The sequence below is a fragment of the Homo sapiens genome, chromosome 10 (assembly GCF_000001405.40).
Source record: "Homo sapiens chromosome 10, GRCh38.p14 Primary Assembly".
Lineage (NCBI taxonomy): Eukaryota > Metazoa > Chordata > Mammalia > Primates > Hominidae > Homo > Homo sapiens.
The window spans coordinates 49,489,948-49,511,347 of NC_000010.11; the positions used below are offsets into that span (position 1 = coordinate 49,489,948).

A 21,400-nucleotide genomic window follows, 5' to 3' on the forward strand; every position below is an offset into this window, starting at 1 on the left:
GAAATGCAGTGTTTATTGTTGTTTTAACAAATAAATATTAATCAACTCACATGAAAGTTGCTCTATATTAGAAAAAAGGATCACGAAATATAATCAGAAAAAGGAAATCTTGAACTTTTATTAAATGCGATTTCAAGTGACCATTAAAAGAGATTCAGAAGCCTAAAAATTTCTTTATCAGATTTCATCATTTGGTTGAAACTATCAGTTGTATATTTTTTTGCATGGCTGCTGGGTGTACATTTGACAATTCTAAATTATGCTGCCAATCAGAGACTATTAACAAAGATAACATAGGATCAAAGGGTGAGAGAGGTGGGAAGCTAAAGGGCAACTTGGGGAAGAAGAATGATAGATGTGCTTAATTGAGAAATTGACCATTTGATATTTTTCCAAATGAAAAATTTTCCTTTTTTTTTTTTTTTGAGACAGAGTCTCGCTCTGTCGCCCAGGCTAGAGTGCAGTGGCACAGTCCAGGCTCACTGCAACCTCCGCCTCTAGGGTTCAAGAGATTCTCCTGCCTCAGCCTCCCGAGTAGCTAGGACTATAGGCGTGTGCCACCACAACCAGCTAATTTTTGTATTTTTAGTACAGACAGGGTTTCACCACATTGGCCAGGCTGGTCTCAAACCCCTGACCTCGTGATCCACCCGCCTCGGCCTCCCAAAGTGCTGGGATTACAGGCATGAGCCACCACGCCCGGACAATTTTCAAAATTTATGTCATACCAGCTACAACAAAGCATTTGGAAAATAAAGATAATCTACTTGAACGATAAACAAAACAATTCTGGCATTATTATTCTTTTAAATATTTCTAAAGAGAAATTCTCTTCTCTTCCCTGTTCCTAATACATCCAGTATTGAATGTCCCAATGTCAGAGTACCATTATTAAATTCAGACAGAACAGCTGGTGGGCACAGAAAGCTCATCCACTGTAAAAAGAAATCACAGCTGATAAGGAAGTCAGGCATTAGACGCTGAGTTAGAGGACGAATCACCACAAACAGAATTTTTGAAATATGAATAAGAAACATAGACTCTATTGTAATTTAACACACGTGTAAGCCAGCAGGTATGCATGTGTGGTGACAGAGATCTGCACATACACAGAAGATCGAAGGTGCAGAGGAAGCAAATACCCCTTCAGTAGTTGAATCCAGAAACCAAAGTTATGATCTTAGAAATGTCAATAGTAAGGCCTATGGAAAGGAACTATTAATACATTTCCAATGTGTCGTCACCACAAATAAGCCAATATTAACATTAATGAAAAGTAATAAATATAGGGCTTCTAAGTTAAGAATATAGTTTGATACATATAAAAGTACATATTTTTGATCTTTTGCCTAACAGTTTACATCTTTAGTGATCTAAGATACTTTATAATGGAAAAGGAACAGTAGGAAGAGTTAAGAGTTTGAGTAAAAACACAAGGAAACTGTAATGCTGTTTTTCCTCAAAAGTTAATTAAGAATCTTCAAGTTAGAGTCCTTGGTAAACTGTAAAACACTGAAAAAATTATTAACAACCATATGTATGCAAGTGTCTGTGAAGGTAAAACAACCTCAGAAGGTAAAGCCACTGCAACCAAAAGTGAAATATCTCTTCTTAGAAGTTTGCCCTCCAAAGTCAAGGAGACAAATTTCACCAAATTTACTGTCAATTCTATTTCCATAATGAGTCCATGTATGTGGTTTACACGAAGGCAGTTCTTCAAACTATGGTGACAAAGGAACTGGAGGCAAGCCATGATCCAGGTGAAGGTGTCCAATACACACACTTTACTACCCCAAAAGAAAATGAAAGGAATAACATTTTTTTAAATTGCCTTTATAAGACAAACATCAGCTAATGAGTCCTGCCACAGGATTTTGCAGCACAAAACACTAAGAGATGTTAACAGATAACAGAAATGAAAAAGGAACCACAAATGTTTTACAAGGGTAGTGACAGGATAGTTTAAGGTTTGACAAACAATTTAAGGTTTGACTAGACAACAATCTATACTGCTATTATCTTCATACTGCTAAAAATCACTTTTTATAACTCACAGCATTTACCCTAATTTATTAATTATCTTATCCAGTTTATTTTCCATTTATCACTTAAAATTCTGGGCAAAGTCAGTTGGTTTTAACAATAACAGTGTAAGCAAAATTCCATCTCGCCTTATTTGTGCTACCAAACCATAGATTTTTCTGAGTCACTTCTATCAAAAGTTTGCTTTTCCATGAACACAAACACAACAGGAATCCTGGAGTTTCGTGGTCCCCGTGCATCTGACTCCGTGAGGCAAACACTCCATAGCCCTTGCAGCCGGCACTGCTTTCCTGGGCCCCGAGAACGAACTCAAGAGCTCAGAAGACTCAGGAAAGAAAGAACTAGCTCCTAAGAGACTGCTGCTTCTCCCCAATAATGTAACCTGCAAATTCACAGTGAAACTGCGTGATTATTATTTATTCAGCAAATGCTTATGGGTCACCCGGGATATAAAAATGAATCAGACACAGTCCCTACTCAACAGAGCTCACAGTCTGGATGGTTAGACAGATGAGAAGAAAAAAGGAAGAATACAACGTATCTATGCTACCCACAGGAGCACAGATAAAGCTCTTTTTTGATACTGTGATATTACCAAACTCTAAGTGAAGAAATACAACTGTCAATACATGACGATCAAGGATTCAAGGAACAAAACACAACTAAAAAGCAACAATACTTGCGAAATTCTCAAGATGGAAGGTTAAATGCATACTAACAAATGCATTTACCAATTAAGAGTTGTTATTTTACTTCTGTATCCACCTTCCTAAAACTGTTTGAAGCCACTAATGCGCAAAGTCTCTCCTTACTGGACGCAGCCACCTGACTTATGACTCCAACCCACACTGCCAGGCTTGTGCCCTGTCTGAGATGATTCGTATTTTACTGGACAACAGACATTGTCACAACACCACCACAGACTGTTAGAACAATAAGACCTATATTCATAACTGTTCTGAAAACACAGAGCTCTAAAGTAAGTCAATAATAATAAATTAACTTTAAATGCAGGAAAAAAAACACAGGAATATACATTTGAGAAACACATGGATCAGAGAAAAACCAAATATGTAAAATGGAGGGCATTAAAACAAAACAAAAAGGTACTGAAATATTGTGTTACCTTTTTGTGGGTATAGGAACCGGTTTCATGTAGAATTGCCACTCTGAACGGAGGCCACCACGTGTGAAATTCCTTCACCCACTGATGCATCACTGTTGTTGGACAGACAATTACAGTTGGACCCAACCCCTCAAACCTGCATCCAAACGTCCAAGAAGAAAACAACCATGAAAGAGCATATACAGTCATCAACTGCTCAAAAGATCCCCCAAAACAACAAACAAAAAACTTAGTTCAAAAAAACAATGCTAACTATGGAAATTTATTGATATTTTCTTTAAGAAAAAGTTACTGATGTTAAAACCCAGTAAGTAAAATCTCCATAATCTCATTCATCAATTAGTGGATGTAGGTGTTAAGAGAAAACACTTAATAATATATTAAGAGATATAACATCTATAGTAACATAAAAGATAATCAAATATTATTTAACAAAAATACTCTTTTCCCTTCTACTACAGATTAGTGAAGTTTTTATACAGTGTATCTTAACCTAAGTGAACATAATAGAATCTTAAATTTGTCTGAAGTTTTATAGTCTACCAAGAGTTTTCAAGCCACAGAATTTCAATCTCACTGCCCTAGGAAGCAAGTAGGCCAGAAATGCTCCACTGATGGGGGCTCATAAGGCTGGCATGGCCCAGGTGACATGGCTACCAGGGGACAGAGGGCTGCCTAGCAGCCAGTCTTCACTTACTGCAGCCTGTCCTCACTACACCACCCTGCCTGCTCCTCTACACCACCAAAGCACCATGGAGGAGCATCCGAGCGAGTGTTCTCTCCTGGGAAGCCCACACCGACAGTGTACAAGCTGGCACTGCTGTGTGGGCAGGTAGTTCGGCAGCAAAATCAAGAGCCTCAACAGCACCCATGCATTGACCCAGCAATCCCAATAAAAACATTTACACACTGGGATACACACTGGAGCATTCTTTATACTGCAGAAAAAGTGGGTGCTACCTATGTCCATGGAGAAGAGGAAAGCTGAATGAACTATCCCATTTCTTTAACAAAGCATGGGCCAGTGGTTAGAGGCACTGCCTGGATCTGAATCCAACTCTGCACACATTGTATGATCTCGGGCACACCATTTAACCTCTGGGAACGTCAGTTTTTCATTTTCAAATGGGAATAATAACAGTATTGATCTTATAGGGTTATTACGAAGATTAAATCAGTTAACATCTGTAAAGTGCTTAGAACAGGACCATATAGAAAATACTATAAGATTCTGTTAAATAAGATGGAATATCATATAACTATTAAAATCATTTTGAAGAAGTTAATAAACTAGAAAAATGTTCACCATAATTTTTAAAAATTATTTATGGAATCACCCCAATTTCCTTAGACATAGGTATACGTAGAAAAACTGGTTGTGGCCATTGTCTCAACATGCATTCCCCTCTCCCTTTTTCCTGAAGAATCAGATCTCTGCAGGTGCCCTCCTTCTTCCTTACTGCAGACACACAGTTTATGGGACTCTGACCACTGCCTGGCTCAGAAGCAGGAATCCTGGCTCATCTATAACCTGTCAGTGCATGGTACTCCCCTGAAACTCTCACTAGTCCATGAAGCTGGCCTGGCAAGACTGACCAACTTTGTAAGGAAAAATTACATTCTGGGTTGGGAGAGACTTTTCTCTCCTGGTCTTTCTGGCTACATGTACAGACCAATGGTCACTGGGTTACAGTGATAAGGAGATCTAATGATTACAAGGACACCTGGCCTTAGGCAAAAATTAAAGTATCTGGGTCCCTGAAGACATCATTGAGCTGCTGATCATGCTGTGTCCACAGCCTCCCCCTCTGTAGGTTTCTAGGTGTACCATACATTTGTGAATGTTTAACCCAATTTGAGGCCAGGTTTCACTTAGGTGCAGTCAAATATCCTGATACGTCCTACACTGTATTCCCTGTCTGCATCTGCACTCCTCCTGCCCTTCTGGGACAAAGGGACAGTGTCCCTTTTCTTGTTTGAGACCAATCCCTTTAGCTAAGCTCTTGAGCTTGTATCTCCACAAGCGGCACTCCCATTACTGTAGCCCATTAACCTTCAGTCTTGCTGGGAGTTGGGTGCCAGTCAGTGCATAAGAAGAAAATTAAGCAGAAGTCAAAACTAACCGTGGCAACCTCTTCAACAACACTCAGCTCATGCTACAAGAGGCAACTAAAAACTGGGATTGACTGAGGGCATCACAGGGCCACACGCCTGCCTCTCACACACCTGGAGCAGAGTCACTGCACTCTGCACACTGTCATTCCTCTCCTCCACTCCCTTTTCCTGCCCCACAAAGATGTTGACTGTGTGAAGCAAAATGCACATACATTACTCCACTGTATACACTACCCCTTCTATCTCACTAATTCCCACAATTTCAATTCTAGATGCTGGTAATGCCAAATCTAAGTCTCCAGCCCAGATCACTCTTCTGAACTCCAAACCACCACACACTAGAAATCTCACTGCCGATATCCCCAAAGCACCACACGCCATCCTCCCCTACCTGGCTGTCCCCTGTCCCCGTGCTTCCAAACCAATGGAAAGAATTTTGTCCCACTGTCCAGGTGCCCAAATCAGAAACCTAGGCCTCATCCTTGAGCAGACCTGCTTGCTCTCCACCACGAGCAACCTACACTGAGTTCACATCATTTTTACCTCCTGAATCCTTTCAGTCGCCATGTCTCTCCGTCTACACTGTTGCTATGCCAGGTCCAGCCACTCTCCTCTCTCATCTGGGTTACTGCATCTCCGAGGATGATTATTTCAAACAGTAAAATTTGAATTCCTCATCCTCTCACTTCAAAGCCTCTAATGACTGCCCACTGCTCTTGCGACAGAGATTAAACACCTGGACGTGGCCTACGAGGCCACGAAGACTGACCTCTGCTCATCTCTCCTGCCTTACCTCTCACTGCCATTATCCTACCACTTGCTCCTGTGGCTAGCAGCCCACCAGCCTGAACCGTCTTCCCTTCCTCCAATCGACCTTCACCATGTCCTGGTTACCCTCTTACCCCTCCAGCTACCTTCTACTCAACATTCAGATCTCTAGCTTCCTCGACAAAGCCTTCCCTGTCCCTTTCTCTGTAAACAAGTTAACGACTCTTCCTTAGTGCACTCCACATTAACCCTGACAAAACACAAATCACCTTTACTGTAATTGTATGAGATCCTCCCTAAACTCTGTGAGAGCAGAGATAATCTCTTCTTCAAATGATCTCAATGCCTACCTAATAGCAAGCAATTAATGAATGCTGGCTTTATTAAATTAAAACATTTTTTAAGATTGGAAGAAAATATATCAACATGCTAAAAGAGATTATTTCAGAGTTGGGGAATCATAAGTGATTTTTGTTTTCTTACTAGAGCTCAGAAATAAATTATTCCTGAACTTAAAACAATTTTTGGCCGGGTACAGTGGCTCACACCTATAATCCCAACACTTTGGGAGGCCGAGGCGGGTGGATCACCTGAAGTCAGGAGTTTGAGACCAGCCTGGCCAACATGGTGAAACCCCGTCTCTACCTAAACTATAAAAATTAGCCGGGTATGGTGGTGAGTGTCTGTAATCCCAGCTACTTGGGAGGCTGAGGCAGGAGAATCACTTGAACCCGGGAGGCGGAGGTTGCAGTGAGCTGAGATTGTGCCACTGCACTCCAGCCTGGGCGACAAGAGCGAGACTCTGTCTCAGAACAAACAAACAAACAAACAAAATACAATTTTTACAAATAACTGAAGAGTAAATCATACAATGCTTGAAATATTAAAAATCATCTACTACACAACTGAAAAATAATTTGTAGTTCTATAGAAAAACAATGAAATTTTGGTAAAGCCCTAACTTAAATGAGGCCTACCCTTATACTCCAACGTAACAAAATAACCTATGTCCACTTTGAAACCCTCCCTGCCTCCAGCTACAGTCACTGTCCCTGCCCTTCAACTGGGTGGAAAGGGCCAGACTACAAGAAGCCAGAGGCTACAAGAGACTCCGACACTCTTCCTACAGAGTTTCTAAGCCATGCTCCTCACCAAGGCAGGGCCTGTCCAGGTGCCCCTTGAGCTCCCCAAGGAGAGTGGGACTCTGCCTGGCCCCTTCCATGGCAGCAAGCCTTTCTAAAAGGATTAAATGCACCAGCTTCTTTCTATCCTCCAAGGGGAATAAAAGAGTTATCATCAATATGCACTTAGCAGGGATTAGGAAACAACCAATCAAAAGCTGTCTAAAATATTTTTACAACAAACTCACATTCAAATAAGCATAAACACATGCATATGTTTTTTCAGGTTATACAGTATTTTTTTCTCTTTTATAATGTGCCTTCTGCAAACTGCTACATTGATGACTCACATTTTGTTATCTAAGGCTAGTATATTCTTCTGGCTGAACATCTATCTGGCATTATCAAGATGCCCTTTAATTTCTGCCATTTTCCCCCTTAGTAGAAAAAATTGGAGATTTTCACGCTGAGTTGAGATCTAGGAGCAGACCTAGACTGTTGCTGGACCACAGCAGGACAATCAACTCCATTAACAGTCACATCGTCAACTGAACCACCCTTTCCTAACTCTTAATACCAGTGAGATGAACATGAGTAATGGCTAAGTGTACTACAGTGATTAGCATCAATTACCAAACAGACTACAATTCCTTTAATCTTTGATTACCATTGATTACCTAATAAATTTAGGGAAAGCCAATAGCTCCATGGTCAAATATATCAACCTGCAGGATGGAAATCTGCTAGTCATACCCAGAACTTACCAGGAACTACAAAGTAAAATATTTATCCTTGAAAGTTTATTAAATTCAATAACATTAGGAATTACCAAATGATATCCAAGACTTTAAAAAATTAACTGAGTTTGAAAGTCAATTTATTTCCTTTTCATTATAAGATTGAGGGGCCTATCATTATAATATGAATGGCAAAGTGAAAAGAAGGTGGTGTATCCATTATGAAGGGGAACACAGCAACCAGTACAGATGTTTATTAACCATAAGCAATATGTTTCTCTGTCTTCTAGAAACACACATACAACACACATTTTTTAAAAAATAACAAATCAAACTTCTTTTACCATGAAGTTTCTTGGTATCACAGAGACACTGTTCCCATTTCAATGTTCATGGTCCTTAAAATTACAACACCAAAATCATCTCAAATTAGGGCCCCTCTACAGTTTGTAAGAGTTCACAGGAAATATACATAGCCAATGAGGCAATAACAGCTCACACAGAACTTCATTTGACCTTAAGAGCTATTTTTCTGTAAGACATAAGTATAGAGAACTCCCAAGTTCATCTGGTTCCAGAGGAGGATGTGTTATAAAGTTGTTAGGAAGATGTGGTCCAGTCCGCCCTGGTACATATGAGCGGGGGGGACCACACTCCTCTGTAAACTTCCACTCATGAGGAGCCCAGGTGTTTGTGGTGCAGCACCACATTCTCACAAGCCACTTCCACCAATACCATCTTAATAAAGACAATCTGGGATGTAGTCCAATATGCCACATTATTTCATTATAGAGAAGAGGATATGAGCATTGATAGTTAATTGATTACAGCTGCTGTTCATTATTAGCCTTGACTTCATTCTTAGTAGGATTGTCACCACCCAAGAGAGCATGTTTTAATTTTTAGATCAAAACTACACTGCAGGGATGACTTTAGTTCTCCTAGGACCTGAGCACTGGACTCCACATAAGTGTGATGATAATAGGAAGGGAAGCAAAGAAAAGAAATGAAATGGGAAATAAGAAAATCCCAGAAACCATTTAAGGAAAGAAAGAGTCCTAGAAACCATTTGGAGGAGTTTGGGGTTGTCTAGTTACCAAAAACACCCAACAGAGTTGCAGAAAACAAGCCAACCAAAGAGCTTATTTGAAACAGAAAAAGCATTTTATTTGAAACAGAAAAAGCATATTAAAAAAATTAACAGTCATAGATAAGACCACACTAAATGCCCACTTGGAACTTCAACTTTTCCTTTGGTCTGGAATGTTTTCACATGCTTCCAAGCAAAATGTAATAGAATTCTCATCTTTGAAAAAATCCCCTGCTTCAATATAACTTCCTTGTAACAACAACAACACGATGTTTAGCATTTAAAAATCTCCAAGTGTTTTCTTCCCCTTCCTACATCTATATAAATGCAACTGGCGTTCTAAAATATTCTAAAACTCCAAACACTCCTCACAGAAGTATTGATCTGCTAACTTAACGAAAGAGTAAGAAATAAAACACTAAACTCTGGAGACTAAAGAAACATGATCTTGACTCAGTTTATGGTTCATATTTGGCTCTCTACTAAGCATTTCGCTGCTGATGAGCTGGAGAGTAGGAAGAACTTTCGGCAGTTGCTGACTTCAGGCACACTGACACTACTGTAAAGGTTATCTCCAAATCATATATAGGGAGTGTCTGAGGTTTCCTGGGCACACCCCTCTAGCAACTACCTTGCTCTTACTCTTTATATAAGCCTACTGAAACACAAGGAGCTCGGACTTATCTGGGTTCAGTATGATGAAATATCCTACATAATTTACCGACCAATATTTTTACCAATACTGATTTCTACAGAGTCAATTTACAGTTTAAATATGGAAGTGCTCATAGTACTTTCTTTCAAAATAAAGTATTTCAGTCCTACCATATCAAATAGATTAAATGCTTATTCTTCTGGAATACAAAAGCCTTAATAGTTTATTTAAATTTCTAAAGAGAATAAAGATTAACATCTAAACATAGTTTTCTACCATTTTAGGTAGTCACTTACGTTTTGGCATTAGAATTTATTACATAAAGTTCATAGATTGGGAAGGGCAGAAAACACAGGGATCAGACAAGTAACTTCATTCAAAAACAAGAGAGAGAGCAAGCTATCTAGAAATGCTATCATGCACACTCATTATAAAGGAAATTAGGGAGAATGGCTTCTTCAAAGCTCCAACTCTCCCCATGAATAGACTTTGTACTTACTGTAATGCTCACCTGGTCTCCTGCCAGAACAAATATTTTAATGTAAAATTTAATAAATGGAACTAAAGGTATTATGTCTAATTTAAAATTCCATATTGTGTAAACTATTGATATTAACATAATTGAGTTTGTAAACAATCCCTTTGTAGAAGCTAACCTTAGACATCGTATTGACCCAAAATATCTAGTGGGGCTCATCTGCAAAATGAAGCATCAATGCCTGGAATTCATTAAAAGTGTTACATGTTTAATTTCTCCTGCCCTACAGCTCCATTGTCTCGTAAAATTTTTCCTTTGATGTCCCCCACTAAAAGAATTAAAGGAATATTGTAATTGAAATGTCATCAATAATTCACAAGACCCTCCTCCACAGCAATACATCTGATGAAATATTAATTGAGCTCCACAGACTGACAGTCTGCAGAGGAGCACTTGCCTGTAATTTGAACCACGAGTCCTGATCTTGCTGTAGCTCAGACCTGCCAAGAAGGCAATTATCTGGATGGTCTTGCCCAATCCCATTTCATCTCCCAGAATTCCTCCTGCCTGCTGGCAGTGCAATTCCCACAGCCACCTAACACCTGTCTGCTGGTACCTATGACAACAAACACCAACAAGAAAAGAGAAAATGGCAAATGGTGGATAATACAGATCATAACAGAAAGTACTCATGAATTAATCATTTGGCTAGGTTCTAGTACCAGTCAGAGAAACATGCGGGATGTGTGTTTTACATGAGTATTATATTTATAAGGTCATACATTTTTGATCACCTAGGCATAAAAATCACAAATTTTTCTTTACAAAACATTAACACATTTCTAATTAAACTGATAGATGGGGTAATTAGAGACTATTTCCTTTCTTTTCAACATTAGAAATAGCTTGCTAAACAAGCATAAACTTACTATTTTTTACTCACTTTCTGGGGGAAAAAATCCCAAATATTTTTCATATATAAAGTTCCATTAATTTTTCTATAAAAAAGGGGCACTAATGTTTATTTTTTCAATCTGAATAGCATCAAAAAAGCAGGACAGAGAACACCACAACCTATAGCTTATACTGTTGAAAAGTCACTTGGTGATCATATTATCTTTTAATAGAAAAAATTAAATTTTAAGGCCATAAACAAGTCTGAATAATAGGTCTGCTCTCAAAATTAGAACATAACAGATGATTCTGTCATATTACTAGCAGATGCAAAAAAAAGCACAGTTTAAAGACTCAACAATACAAAAGGTCTTTTTAATATTTCAAAGCAGAAATTGATTCAGGGAGTTTACCAAAGGTACGAAAAGATCATAGCTATTAAGATTTTAAATAAGGAATATGGGTCAAAGAGAAATAATTTAACCTTAACCCCTCCCCCTGCAAAAAACAGAAGTTGATATTTTTCTTTCTCCATCAATGATATGTTTAATCTATAACCTAAAAATAAAGTTAAAAAAGGAAAAATACAAAAAAATTTTCGGAGAGTGGAAGAAACACTTAACAACAGGGAATGGTATGAAGATTATATCCCAAGTTACAAAATCTAAAGCAAAAACCACTTGAATTAAAAGATGATAGGTTAGATGAGGTGGCTCATGCCTGTAAATCCCAGCACTTTGGGAAGCCGAGGCAGGAGGATCATTTAAGCCCAGGAGTTCAAGACCAGCATGGGCAACATAGTAAGACCTCATCTCTACAAGAAAAAAAAAAAAAATTTAGCCAGGAGTGGTGGCACGTGCCTGTAGTCCTAGCTACTTGGGAGGCTAAGGTGAGAGGATTGCTTGAGCCATGGAGGTTGAGGCTGCAATGAACCATGATTGCACCACCGGATTCCAAACTGGGCAACAGAGTGAGACCCCATCTCTAATAAATAAATAAAAAGATGATGCAAGATAAGGCATTTTTTTTTCAAAGAAAATATCAAGGCTGATGGGCTACCCACCTTAAAAGAAGATAGTTTTGTTGTTTTGCTGTCCAAATACTTACTATCTGGTACCTATAGGTATGTCTACCTAAAATCTCATTTTGGACTTCAGCTCATTTAACTGGTTTTATTTAATCTCCTCTCAGTAAATACGTCATAATTAACTTTCTCCCAGTATTTTGCAAAGCAATTCTAGAAGTTTGACTCTAGCTGTTCCATTATTACCTATTACATAAGGAAAACTCTAAATGAGAACTTTGCTGCTTATTAAGTTTGCTAATTATAATACACACACTGGATATGCACCTTGGAGAAAAGAACTAAAAATCAAAACACGATGAAGTGTAGTACAGATACAAGATCATTTAATTTGGGAAGAAGGACAAATTCCGAAAATATGTGGTATGTAATCAGAGAATAATGGCTACCACTTAAGGAACCAACTGCTGAGGAGGCACCAGGCCAGGTGGTTTGGACACAGCCTCACAATCAACTTGCACAAAGGAGATTATCAGCACACTTTATAATTAGGAAACAAAAGCTCAGAATGGTTAGGTAACTTGCCAAAGGTGACATCGCTAGAAAAAAATGAGCAAGCCAGAGCTGAAATCCAGAACTGTATGTTTCCAAAGTGATTCTGGAAATGATCTAGACCAATAGTTCTCAGCCAGGGGTAATTCTTCTCCCTATGGGACATTTGGCAATGTCTAAAGACATTTTTGTTACAACCAGAGAAGTGCAATAGTAGAGGCCAGAGAAGCTGTTCAATATCTGATACTGCACAGGACAGTCCCCACAGCAACAAATTATTTAGCCCTAAGTGTCAATTGTGTCAAGGTCGAGAAACCCTCATTTAGAACAAAAGCTGGTTCATGAACTGGCTACACTAGAATAATCTCAACTTTTGAAAAAGACACACTGCAAAAAGCTCTCCAAAAAAACTGATGTGCAATTAGTTTCCAGAATCACTACATTCTAGTCAGTTGACCTCTTTTTGCTGAGATACAGAACAACTGGACCAGCTCCTCCAGTCGGGGAACAAAATCTCCCAGTGATTATTCTAGTGTATTACTCCTACACCACACTGCCTCCATCCTACATGGGTCCAACAACTCTTTTTGCTTGGGGCTCATCAACTTAACTAAAGTAGGGAGAGTGCGGAAAGGAGCAGTTGAGAAATTATTAAAGAAATGGTAAACAGCATAGGATCCCAAAAGGAACCTGAGAGGGGGTTAAGACAACTAGATTCTGTGTGGCCCAGGAAAGGCAGCATACAATGTGCTGGGTGTTTCCTCATCTACAAATCTAATCTTCGACGGCTTTCAAACAGCATGTGAGTGTGTTTACAAGAAGATGAACAGCACTAAGAAAATGACATTAAAAAAAATCTTACTAGGCAGCATGTAAGTCATATCTCTAGCAGGATCCCCAAAAACTAGGGATAGTTACAAAGATAGCAAAGAGTGGCTCTTTCTTTCCACACAATACACGAAGGCCCTCAGATGGTATTTAAAGGAAATTCACTTGCAGATTAAAAGCACTAGCCACACAGCTGGTAGATGATATACATAGCTGGTGTTGCTAGATGAGGAATATAAGGGCCTGAGCTCAGGTTTCAGCTGTGCCACTAACTGACTTTGGTTTTATTGCTTTACCTTCCTAATAATAAACAGTGTAAACCAATTACATAGTTTAAATAAAAACATATTATAGAATCTAGTTTTCAAAATTTTTGAAAAGCATATAAAAATTACTCTTTAGGGACAGTTAAAGATTTTTATGAATATACAACATAAAAAAATTTATTCTGCTATCCCTTGAGACTGAGGCATCACAATGTGACCACAAATAATTGGTGTACATTGGCATTGCCACACTAACCCAAGATTGCATTTACTAGTGTGGCTGAAAATAAGGTCAAAAGATTGAAGTTTGTCATTTGACTGCTAAATTAGATAGACAAATATACTTGCTGGGCAAACTTTCAAAACAGAAATTTAAAAGTTAAACACTATCTTGCAGAAAATGTACTTAAATGGCTAATTGTACCTTCTGACTCCCTTGTGTACAACTCTATACCCTGTCAATTCAATTCCACAGAATGCAGCAAATACAGTAAAAAAATATATCTACAGTTTAAAATTAAATTGGCCCCGCTAAAACGCAATCATAAAAGAAAAATGGAGACTCTATCAATCCTATTAATTTTTTTCATACAGCAAAAGAAAATGAACAGAAGTTTTATGACATAAAATATTTAAAATCCTGTTTTTGCAGAGATTAAAAAAACACAATACTTTCCAGGAATGTGCAATTAAGACTAATTTTTAAAAAACGAATATTATTTATATTAACTACTATAGAGTTTTGTTAATACACTGAATCCTAAATACTTTTAGTAAGCAAAGTTTAGTACTATTAATTGTGAAATATCTTTGCTAGAAAATCTGACATTTATACAAAAATGCAGACTCAACTTGATCCTTGAGGATATCTGCCAAATCACTTACTACAAATACACAGAAGTATCCTGTCTTTTTTAAATCAATTTAATCTATAATTTGGGTATTCCTTTTGCTAGTACAACACTGATGGTATTTGGCTTGTTTCTTAACAAAGAATCACTGTAGAGAAAACAAAAAGAGTTGCCAATAAAAGTGGCCTTTATTTACCTTTCCATAGTTAATTCTCATTTGGGAGAAGCAATAAACAAAGCAACCACCTCTGTAAATATTACTACAGATTCAGATTTCAACTTCTACACGGCTGTTCCTCTGTCCAGTTAAAGCAATCACATCAAGTCACTTCACATCTTTAGAGTTTGGCTTTCTATAATGTTTAGTGGGATAAAAAAACTACTCTTCACTCTCCCCTACCCCAATGGAGAGAAAAATTAAAACTATAATATAAGCTCTTTGAGAGAAAATATAAAGAGCATGCTGTTTTTAAGTAGACTTCTTCCACAAGTTTAGGGCATGGCTGACAGCTGAATCTATAAAGGAGACCAAACTTAATCATCTCGAACAAAGAACTTTGCATCCTGCTCCCAACTACAAATTGATTATACAAAAGAGACAGAAAGAAGCTATGTAATGGTTTAACTTCCTATATGCATCTAAGAAGCCTTCCTAAAGTATCTTGTTAAGTAAATCCCAGGAGTGACGAGACTGAAAATGTTCCTCAGTATTTACATTCATCACGGGAGACTGGCCAGCCCTTAGAGACAACATGAACACATCTATCAGGCAGCATCCGGTCATCTCCAATGCTTGGCCACTTACACATGAAACCTGGCTTCAAATAGCAACTTAATCATCAAGGTGTTGCCCATATCTTCTCTTTTGACATTAGAATGACATCCTACATAAAATATTTAGATGCACATTTGGTCAGCTCAAAAATATTATACCCTCAGGTACAATATAAGACACTCAAAAAAAATGTCAAAAGTTTTTTATTTCCACATAGAAGAAAAAAAATCCTTCCCAATATTGATTTTAATATGCAACTCTTCCTATTAATCTTATTTAAGAAATTAGGAGTTTGGCACCTTAAAATTACTAAGAACAAAAAAATTATTCAACATAAATGGCTTTTAAATGTGTTGCTTTTAGTCTGCTGAGGCAGGTCCATATAGATTCATCAGTTTACAAACATACCCAATGCACATTTTAGTCAACTTATTATCATCCAATTTTAATGAACAGCACGTGGCTATAATTTCATTTGACAGTATCTGTTTTTGCAACAAATTGCTGCAAGTACCTTCAGGGCCCACAGGTAACTACTATGTAATTCCTAAAATGTTAATTTGTACATAATGGCTTGATAGCAAATAGAAAGGAAAGAACATATGGTACATACTTAAAAAGCTTTTTGAACAGAAAACCTGGCACTTTAAAACCTTCGTCAAATTCAGCATCACTTTCCTCAGAATCGTCCTCCAGCTTCAGACGTTTCTCTTTGTCCTGCAGTCTCAGTTTATTCCATCTCCTACCATGAAAATAAAAATCACATTTCCATTATTTTGATCACAAGACAGATTTAAAAAGATAGCTCCTGATAATGTACAAGAAAAAACAGGCAAATTAGAACGGTCTCTTAGGTTAATGCTGCCATTATTACCCAAAACACTGATATTCAAAGAGGAAAAACAATTCTCTTCTCCAGCCATCTCAATTCATTTCTTATGTAAATTATTATAGCTGCTCTAGAAATATTTCTTTAAGGTCTCATTTCATTATCAAAACTACTTGCTCCTCTTCTGGCATACCCTAAGGGAAAATTTCTCTGCTGGTTCGTAAGACATGAAATTAGTCCTAGAAAAGATTCAGTAAAAATTTCAATATAATTGAGTGTCTTCACAACCGCAATACTATGTAACAAAAAATAGATTTATAATTACTATTTCTGTTCTAAAGATATGATAGTCACAGCATAAAACAACAAAGCCCCTTAAACATAAAGCAAATTTGGGGTCAAAATCACTGAATCAGGTTCACATTACTGATTACTTAACTGGGGGAAGAGGCATCAGCAATATACAAGCACTGATAGTGCTACCACTCAAAAAAATGTGTTCACTGAATAAAATCTAAGTTACAAATTTAGTAATATGATACTTTCAGATATAAAATAAGGTGAACACTTATATTTCAGAAGGAAATATATTTCATCTAAATATCTGAAAGTCTTAGCAATACACCAAGGTTGTGGAGAAGGTGCACCCATTTAACCAGACTAATTTTGCATTTACATAACTATAATGGACTCTAGTTGTCGTGAGTGGGGAAAAAAAAAAAGCCTCAAATTCTATTCACTTTCAAAATAAAAAGATGATGTTTTCATTCAGCATGGTGCAACTGATGCTCTGAATTTCACAAAATGGTGGAAATGGAATAAAACAATAATACAGAGAAATGCTTTCAAACTACAATAAAAAAAAAACTCATAGGAAGCGAGTAAGAGCAGCAACACATATAAGGCATTTATCTGCCACTGACTATGCAAGAGTAAGAGAGAATGTCCGAGGGAAGGCAAGAGAAAATGAAAGGGTAATACTACACATGCTGCCTGGCCAAAGGTATGGTGTGTTGTCCAGTATCCATTACAAAACCACACAGAGCCCAATGCTAGTATGTAGGTAGCTACTGGTGGACCTTAAAGCACATCCTCTGATAAACTCTTGCCTTGTTGAAAATTTCAACTCTTCAAGGTAACAAAAGGAAGGGCTAGCTGAAATTTACTTGTGATCAACAAGAACTGGTTATCTGAAATTGCACTACACGGTAGTAAAGGACCTATAAATAAGATCAATGAAGCACTGTTGGTCATTTCCAGAGAAGAACAGCAAATGGAAGAGGCAGTATATGGCCAAGTCTAAGGAAATAGCTATCATCTAACAACAGTTTAATAAGTGATACTTTTTATAAAAAAATTTAATGTCCTTTTTGTGCTTAACTTCTAAAGGCAATCTCTTCTTCTCCACTGGTATTTTTTTTCCTTAAAAATTATCTCCATGCAATGGACAAAATGAATTATCTCTAGGTGGCTATAAAAGTCTTCTGGGTTTCATGTTATTTACAAATTTAGTTAAATGCAATGGTGTACAACAATCGTTCTTGACAGGGGGCAATTCTGTCCCTTCAACCCCACCCTGGGGTAATCTGACAATGCCCAGAGATATTCTTGGTTGTTAGAACTGTGGAAGGAGTCGGGAGGATATACTACTACTGGCATCTTGCAGGTGAGTCCAGGTATGCTGCTAAACATCCTACACCACACAGGACAGCCCCCAAACCCCTCGGTAAAAAGTTATCAAGTCTCAAATGTCAATAATGTCAAAGCCAAGAAGCCCTGGCATATAGGTATCCCTTACTATCAAAACTTAGAAACTGAACAGATATATATACACTTTCCTGATACACATATCTGAATTCTTGATATATATACACTTTCCTGATACACATATCTGAATTCTTGCTACTCACTCTGAAATTCAGCAGTCGAGGAGTTTACATAATGAGAGAGTCCTCGGTATCAAAACTATGAACGCAGAGCCAAACTTCTGCATAACAAAGGATACTTGTATTTAGCAAACTTGTGGATAACATAAACCTTGGAAGAATCACAGCCACTTAAACATACTTCACTTTGCAATTTCTCCAAGATAATTTTACAGAAGGAGAAATAAAAACACCAGAATATATTGCCTTTTGAAGTTTGGCACAAGGCCATTAAATATTTTATATACAGGGTATCACTTTTTAAACTTTATTGATATATGATGACCATTTCCTTAGACTTAGCCAGTCAATCTTTGTGGCTGCTAAATTTCCCACCACATCACTCTGCATCGACAAGATTCAGTTTCCTCCTCCTCCCTCCCTCCTAAAATATACAGGCATCTTGTCGCCACAGAACTCAGCACCTAGGAAACCACATAAGCCACTACAGAAACGATTGCATTCTAGTGCCTTCCGCTTCATAAAGAAAGATGAAAAGGGCCAAACATTTATTCAGTTTGGCTAAAGGATGACTAAAAGTGGTGGGGAAAATCATTATTGCCTGCAAGTATTTGTATCATTGTGAAGACAAATTGCCCCAGTAGAATTATACACATATTAAAGACAGAAAATATCATGGTTATAAAACCACATGCATACAGAGCTCAGGCGAAGAGATTCTTCTGTTACATAAGCAATACTTCCTCATGTGACTTGTAGCCAAAATAGACCTGACCATCTGATGAGGGTCCACTGAAGCAGCACAGCTAAAGATGGGGCCGACAAGTACACCACAACACACTAGGGAAAGGGGGAGAACCAGGTTCATCTGCACATACACAGAAACGTGCCTTCCTCATCCCAGACGCTGCCAAGAGACTTTAAGGGCTCTCTTTAACATGTCTAACCAGCCTGTACTGTAGTCTGGCAGGCTGAGTAGTCTGTCTGGCCAGCAGATATAAAGGATTCTGTATATAAACATCCTGGGTTTGACATATGCAGAAGTGCAGGCCCAGGCACAAAAGTCTGAGCTCAGACTAGCTATAGTCAAATCCTGGTGCCATTTACTAGCTCATGAACCCTCAGCAAGTAACTTAACTTCATCAGCATCTAAGTTTCCTCCACTGAGATGGGGAGAACAGCAGCACCTACTTCACTGGGTTCTGGGAAGGATTAAATAAGGTGTCACATATAAAGCACCTTAGCACAGAACCTAGATTAGGAAGTGCTTAATAAACTACTATAGTATTATATAAAACCACATACATTTTCTGAAATCCTCACGACAACCCTGCAGCAGATACTATTACTATGTTCACTGAAAGAAGAGAAAGCAAGTTACGTATGTGGCCCAATGCAATGTGCATATTGCAACGTACTCTGTTTAACAGAACTACCTGAACATGTATACTTAAACAGAAACTATGATAGCTCATCAAATGGATGCTCAGTTAATTATTATGAATAATGTGCTCACCATAGGAGTAAAGATACCTAGTCTTCAGATGGTACCTGCTGGAATATCTCAATTTAAAAATTCTGTCACAAATTTGTAAATAGTAAACTGTCATTAAGTATGGCAGTCTTTTACATGATAGTAACAAAAATAGATACAGATTGACTTAAAATTGGTAGGGAGTGGGTAAGAATTAAAATCTGGGCCAAGTGAGCTGAAATCTTAAAAATTAGAAATGACCTCAAAATGTCTAAATTCTGTTATTTCAAAAAGTAGACCAGTTAACTGAGAAAAAGCAGAAGGGGGCAGTAAATAGTCCAATATTTACCCTTTTAGAAAACAAATAACTTTTTCATGTTCTCTATTCTCTCATTTTAAAAAATCCACACACGTAATAGTCACAGCTGCAGCCACATAAAACGAAGTGGTGGGCATGGTGTTCACTGGCTGTGTTTCTAGCTCCTCACACAACTGCCAGATTCAGCCTGCTGTCAACTCCACTGGCAGCCAATTACAAGAGAAGCTGGGAACAAACATAAACCTACAATTCCAGTCAGATGCAGACAGAGAAAACACTCCCTGGTTTCCCTACATTCAGGTAGGAATGAGAATCTGGCCCAGGCTGTGGGGCCTGGGGCTGAGACTGCAATAATCATCTGTCAGAAGCAACTCAGACCCAGCACAACCAGTTGAACGACACCAGGAACAATGCTTCCCCCAGTTGTAACCTATTAGGGTGCCGCATCAATGGAACCCTGAAAGCTAGTTGCTGCCATTTAAAGTTAATTTATTTTAGAAGAATTTTCAGCATTCCAAGGATGTTCAAAATAAATAAGTGGAAAGACACAGCTAGCTACCACCGTGCCATACCATGTATGCAGCCTCCTCATCTCTGTGCACCTGCATTCCTGTACTGTCCCCAAATCCTTCCCCTTACATATCCACACATTCAGCAGACCTTTCAAACCCTCACTCATGCAGCACCACCATGCACAGAAACCTCCCATGACCAGCCAGACTTAGGTGTCCTGTCTTCCAAGGGCCCTCCCAATCCCGTGACATCTTGGACACACCTGGGATCTCTACTACAGTGCCCATCAAGTGTAGCATATTGTGAAATCCATACCAGTGTCCTCCACTGGACTGGAAGCCACCTGGGGACAAACACTGTCTTAGCCATTTTTATAGCACTAGAGACTGGTATAATGCCTCCTCATGGCAGACCGTTAAGTGCTGAATGAATGAATGAAGTTCATAATTCGGTTAGGGAAAAGGAAGACACAGACAGAGAAGCGTGACTTGAAAATGGTCAAATGGGGTCATCCAGAAATGGGTTCTGGAAACTTTCTGTTCTGTCTCATTTAGAGCCTACCTCTTGCTGCATTTCCTACTCCTTCTACCCATATGACTTTAAAGCACTGCTCCTAGCTCTGTCCACTGGATAAAAATGGTTAAGGTTCGCTACAAAAAAATGACCCATAATGAGGGTGGCTGCAACATCAGAGAAGTTCTTAATTTAGAATCTTATAACAAAAAAAAAAAAAGATAAGGAGAAGGAAAGCTCATCATTTTGAACAATAAAAAGGTAAATAAATAAAAATTGTGTGAGTGATTTAAGTCTGAGCTCCATTTTTTGGGTTCATCACCAGTAGGTCTCCTCTGTAAGGAGCCTGGTTTCTGCACGCCAGCTGATGGAAAGAACCAGGAGCCCTGAGTTTGCTCCCAAGCTTCCCCAGGACCAGGTGGGAAAGGCTGGACAAAAGAAGCACCTTCTTATGAAAGAATTCTTATGATGGGAAAAAAGTCTAGACTTAAACTATATTTACATTACTAGGAAGGAAATAGTGTTTTTGATGTTCCCACTTTC

General features: G+C 38.3%; 1 protein-coding gene across 2 annotated transcripts in view; it reads right to left on the reverse strand.

Annotated features, from left to right (window-relative positions):
- ERCC6 (ERCC excision repair 6, chromatin remodeling factor) overlaps nt 1-21,400 on the reverse strand; it is a 104,658-nt gene that overhangs the window by 55,067 nt on the left and 28,191 nt on the right. For both annotated transcript variants that reach the window (NM_001346440.2, NM_000124.4), the window contains exons 6-8: nt 15,937-16,065; nt 10,591-10,749; nt 3,170-3,305 (exon numbers count right to left, since the gene is read on the reverse strand). In NM_001346440.2, the coding sequence (NP_001333369.1) occupies nt 3,170-3,305; nt 10,591-10,749; nt 15,937-16,065 (424 nt within the window). The remainder of the gene's footprint in view (nt 1-3,169; nt 3,306-10,590; nt 10,750-15,936; nt 16,066-21,400) is intronic.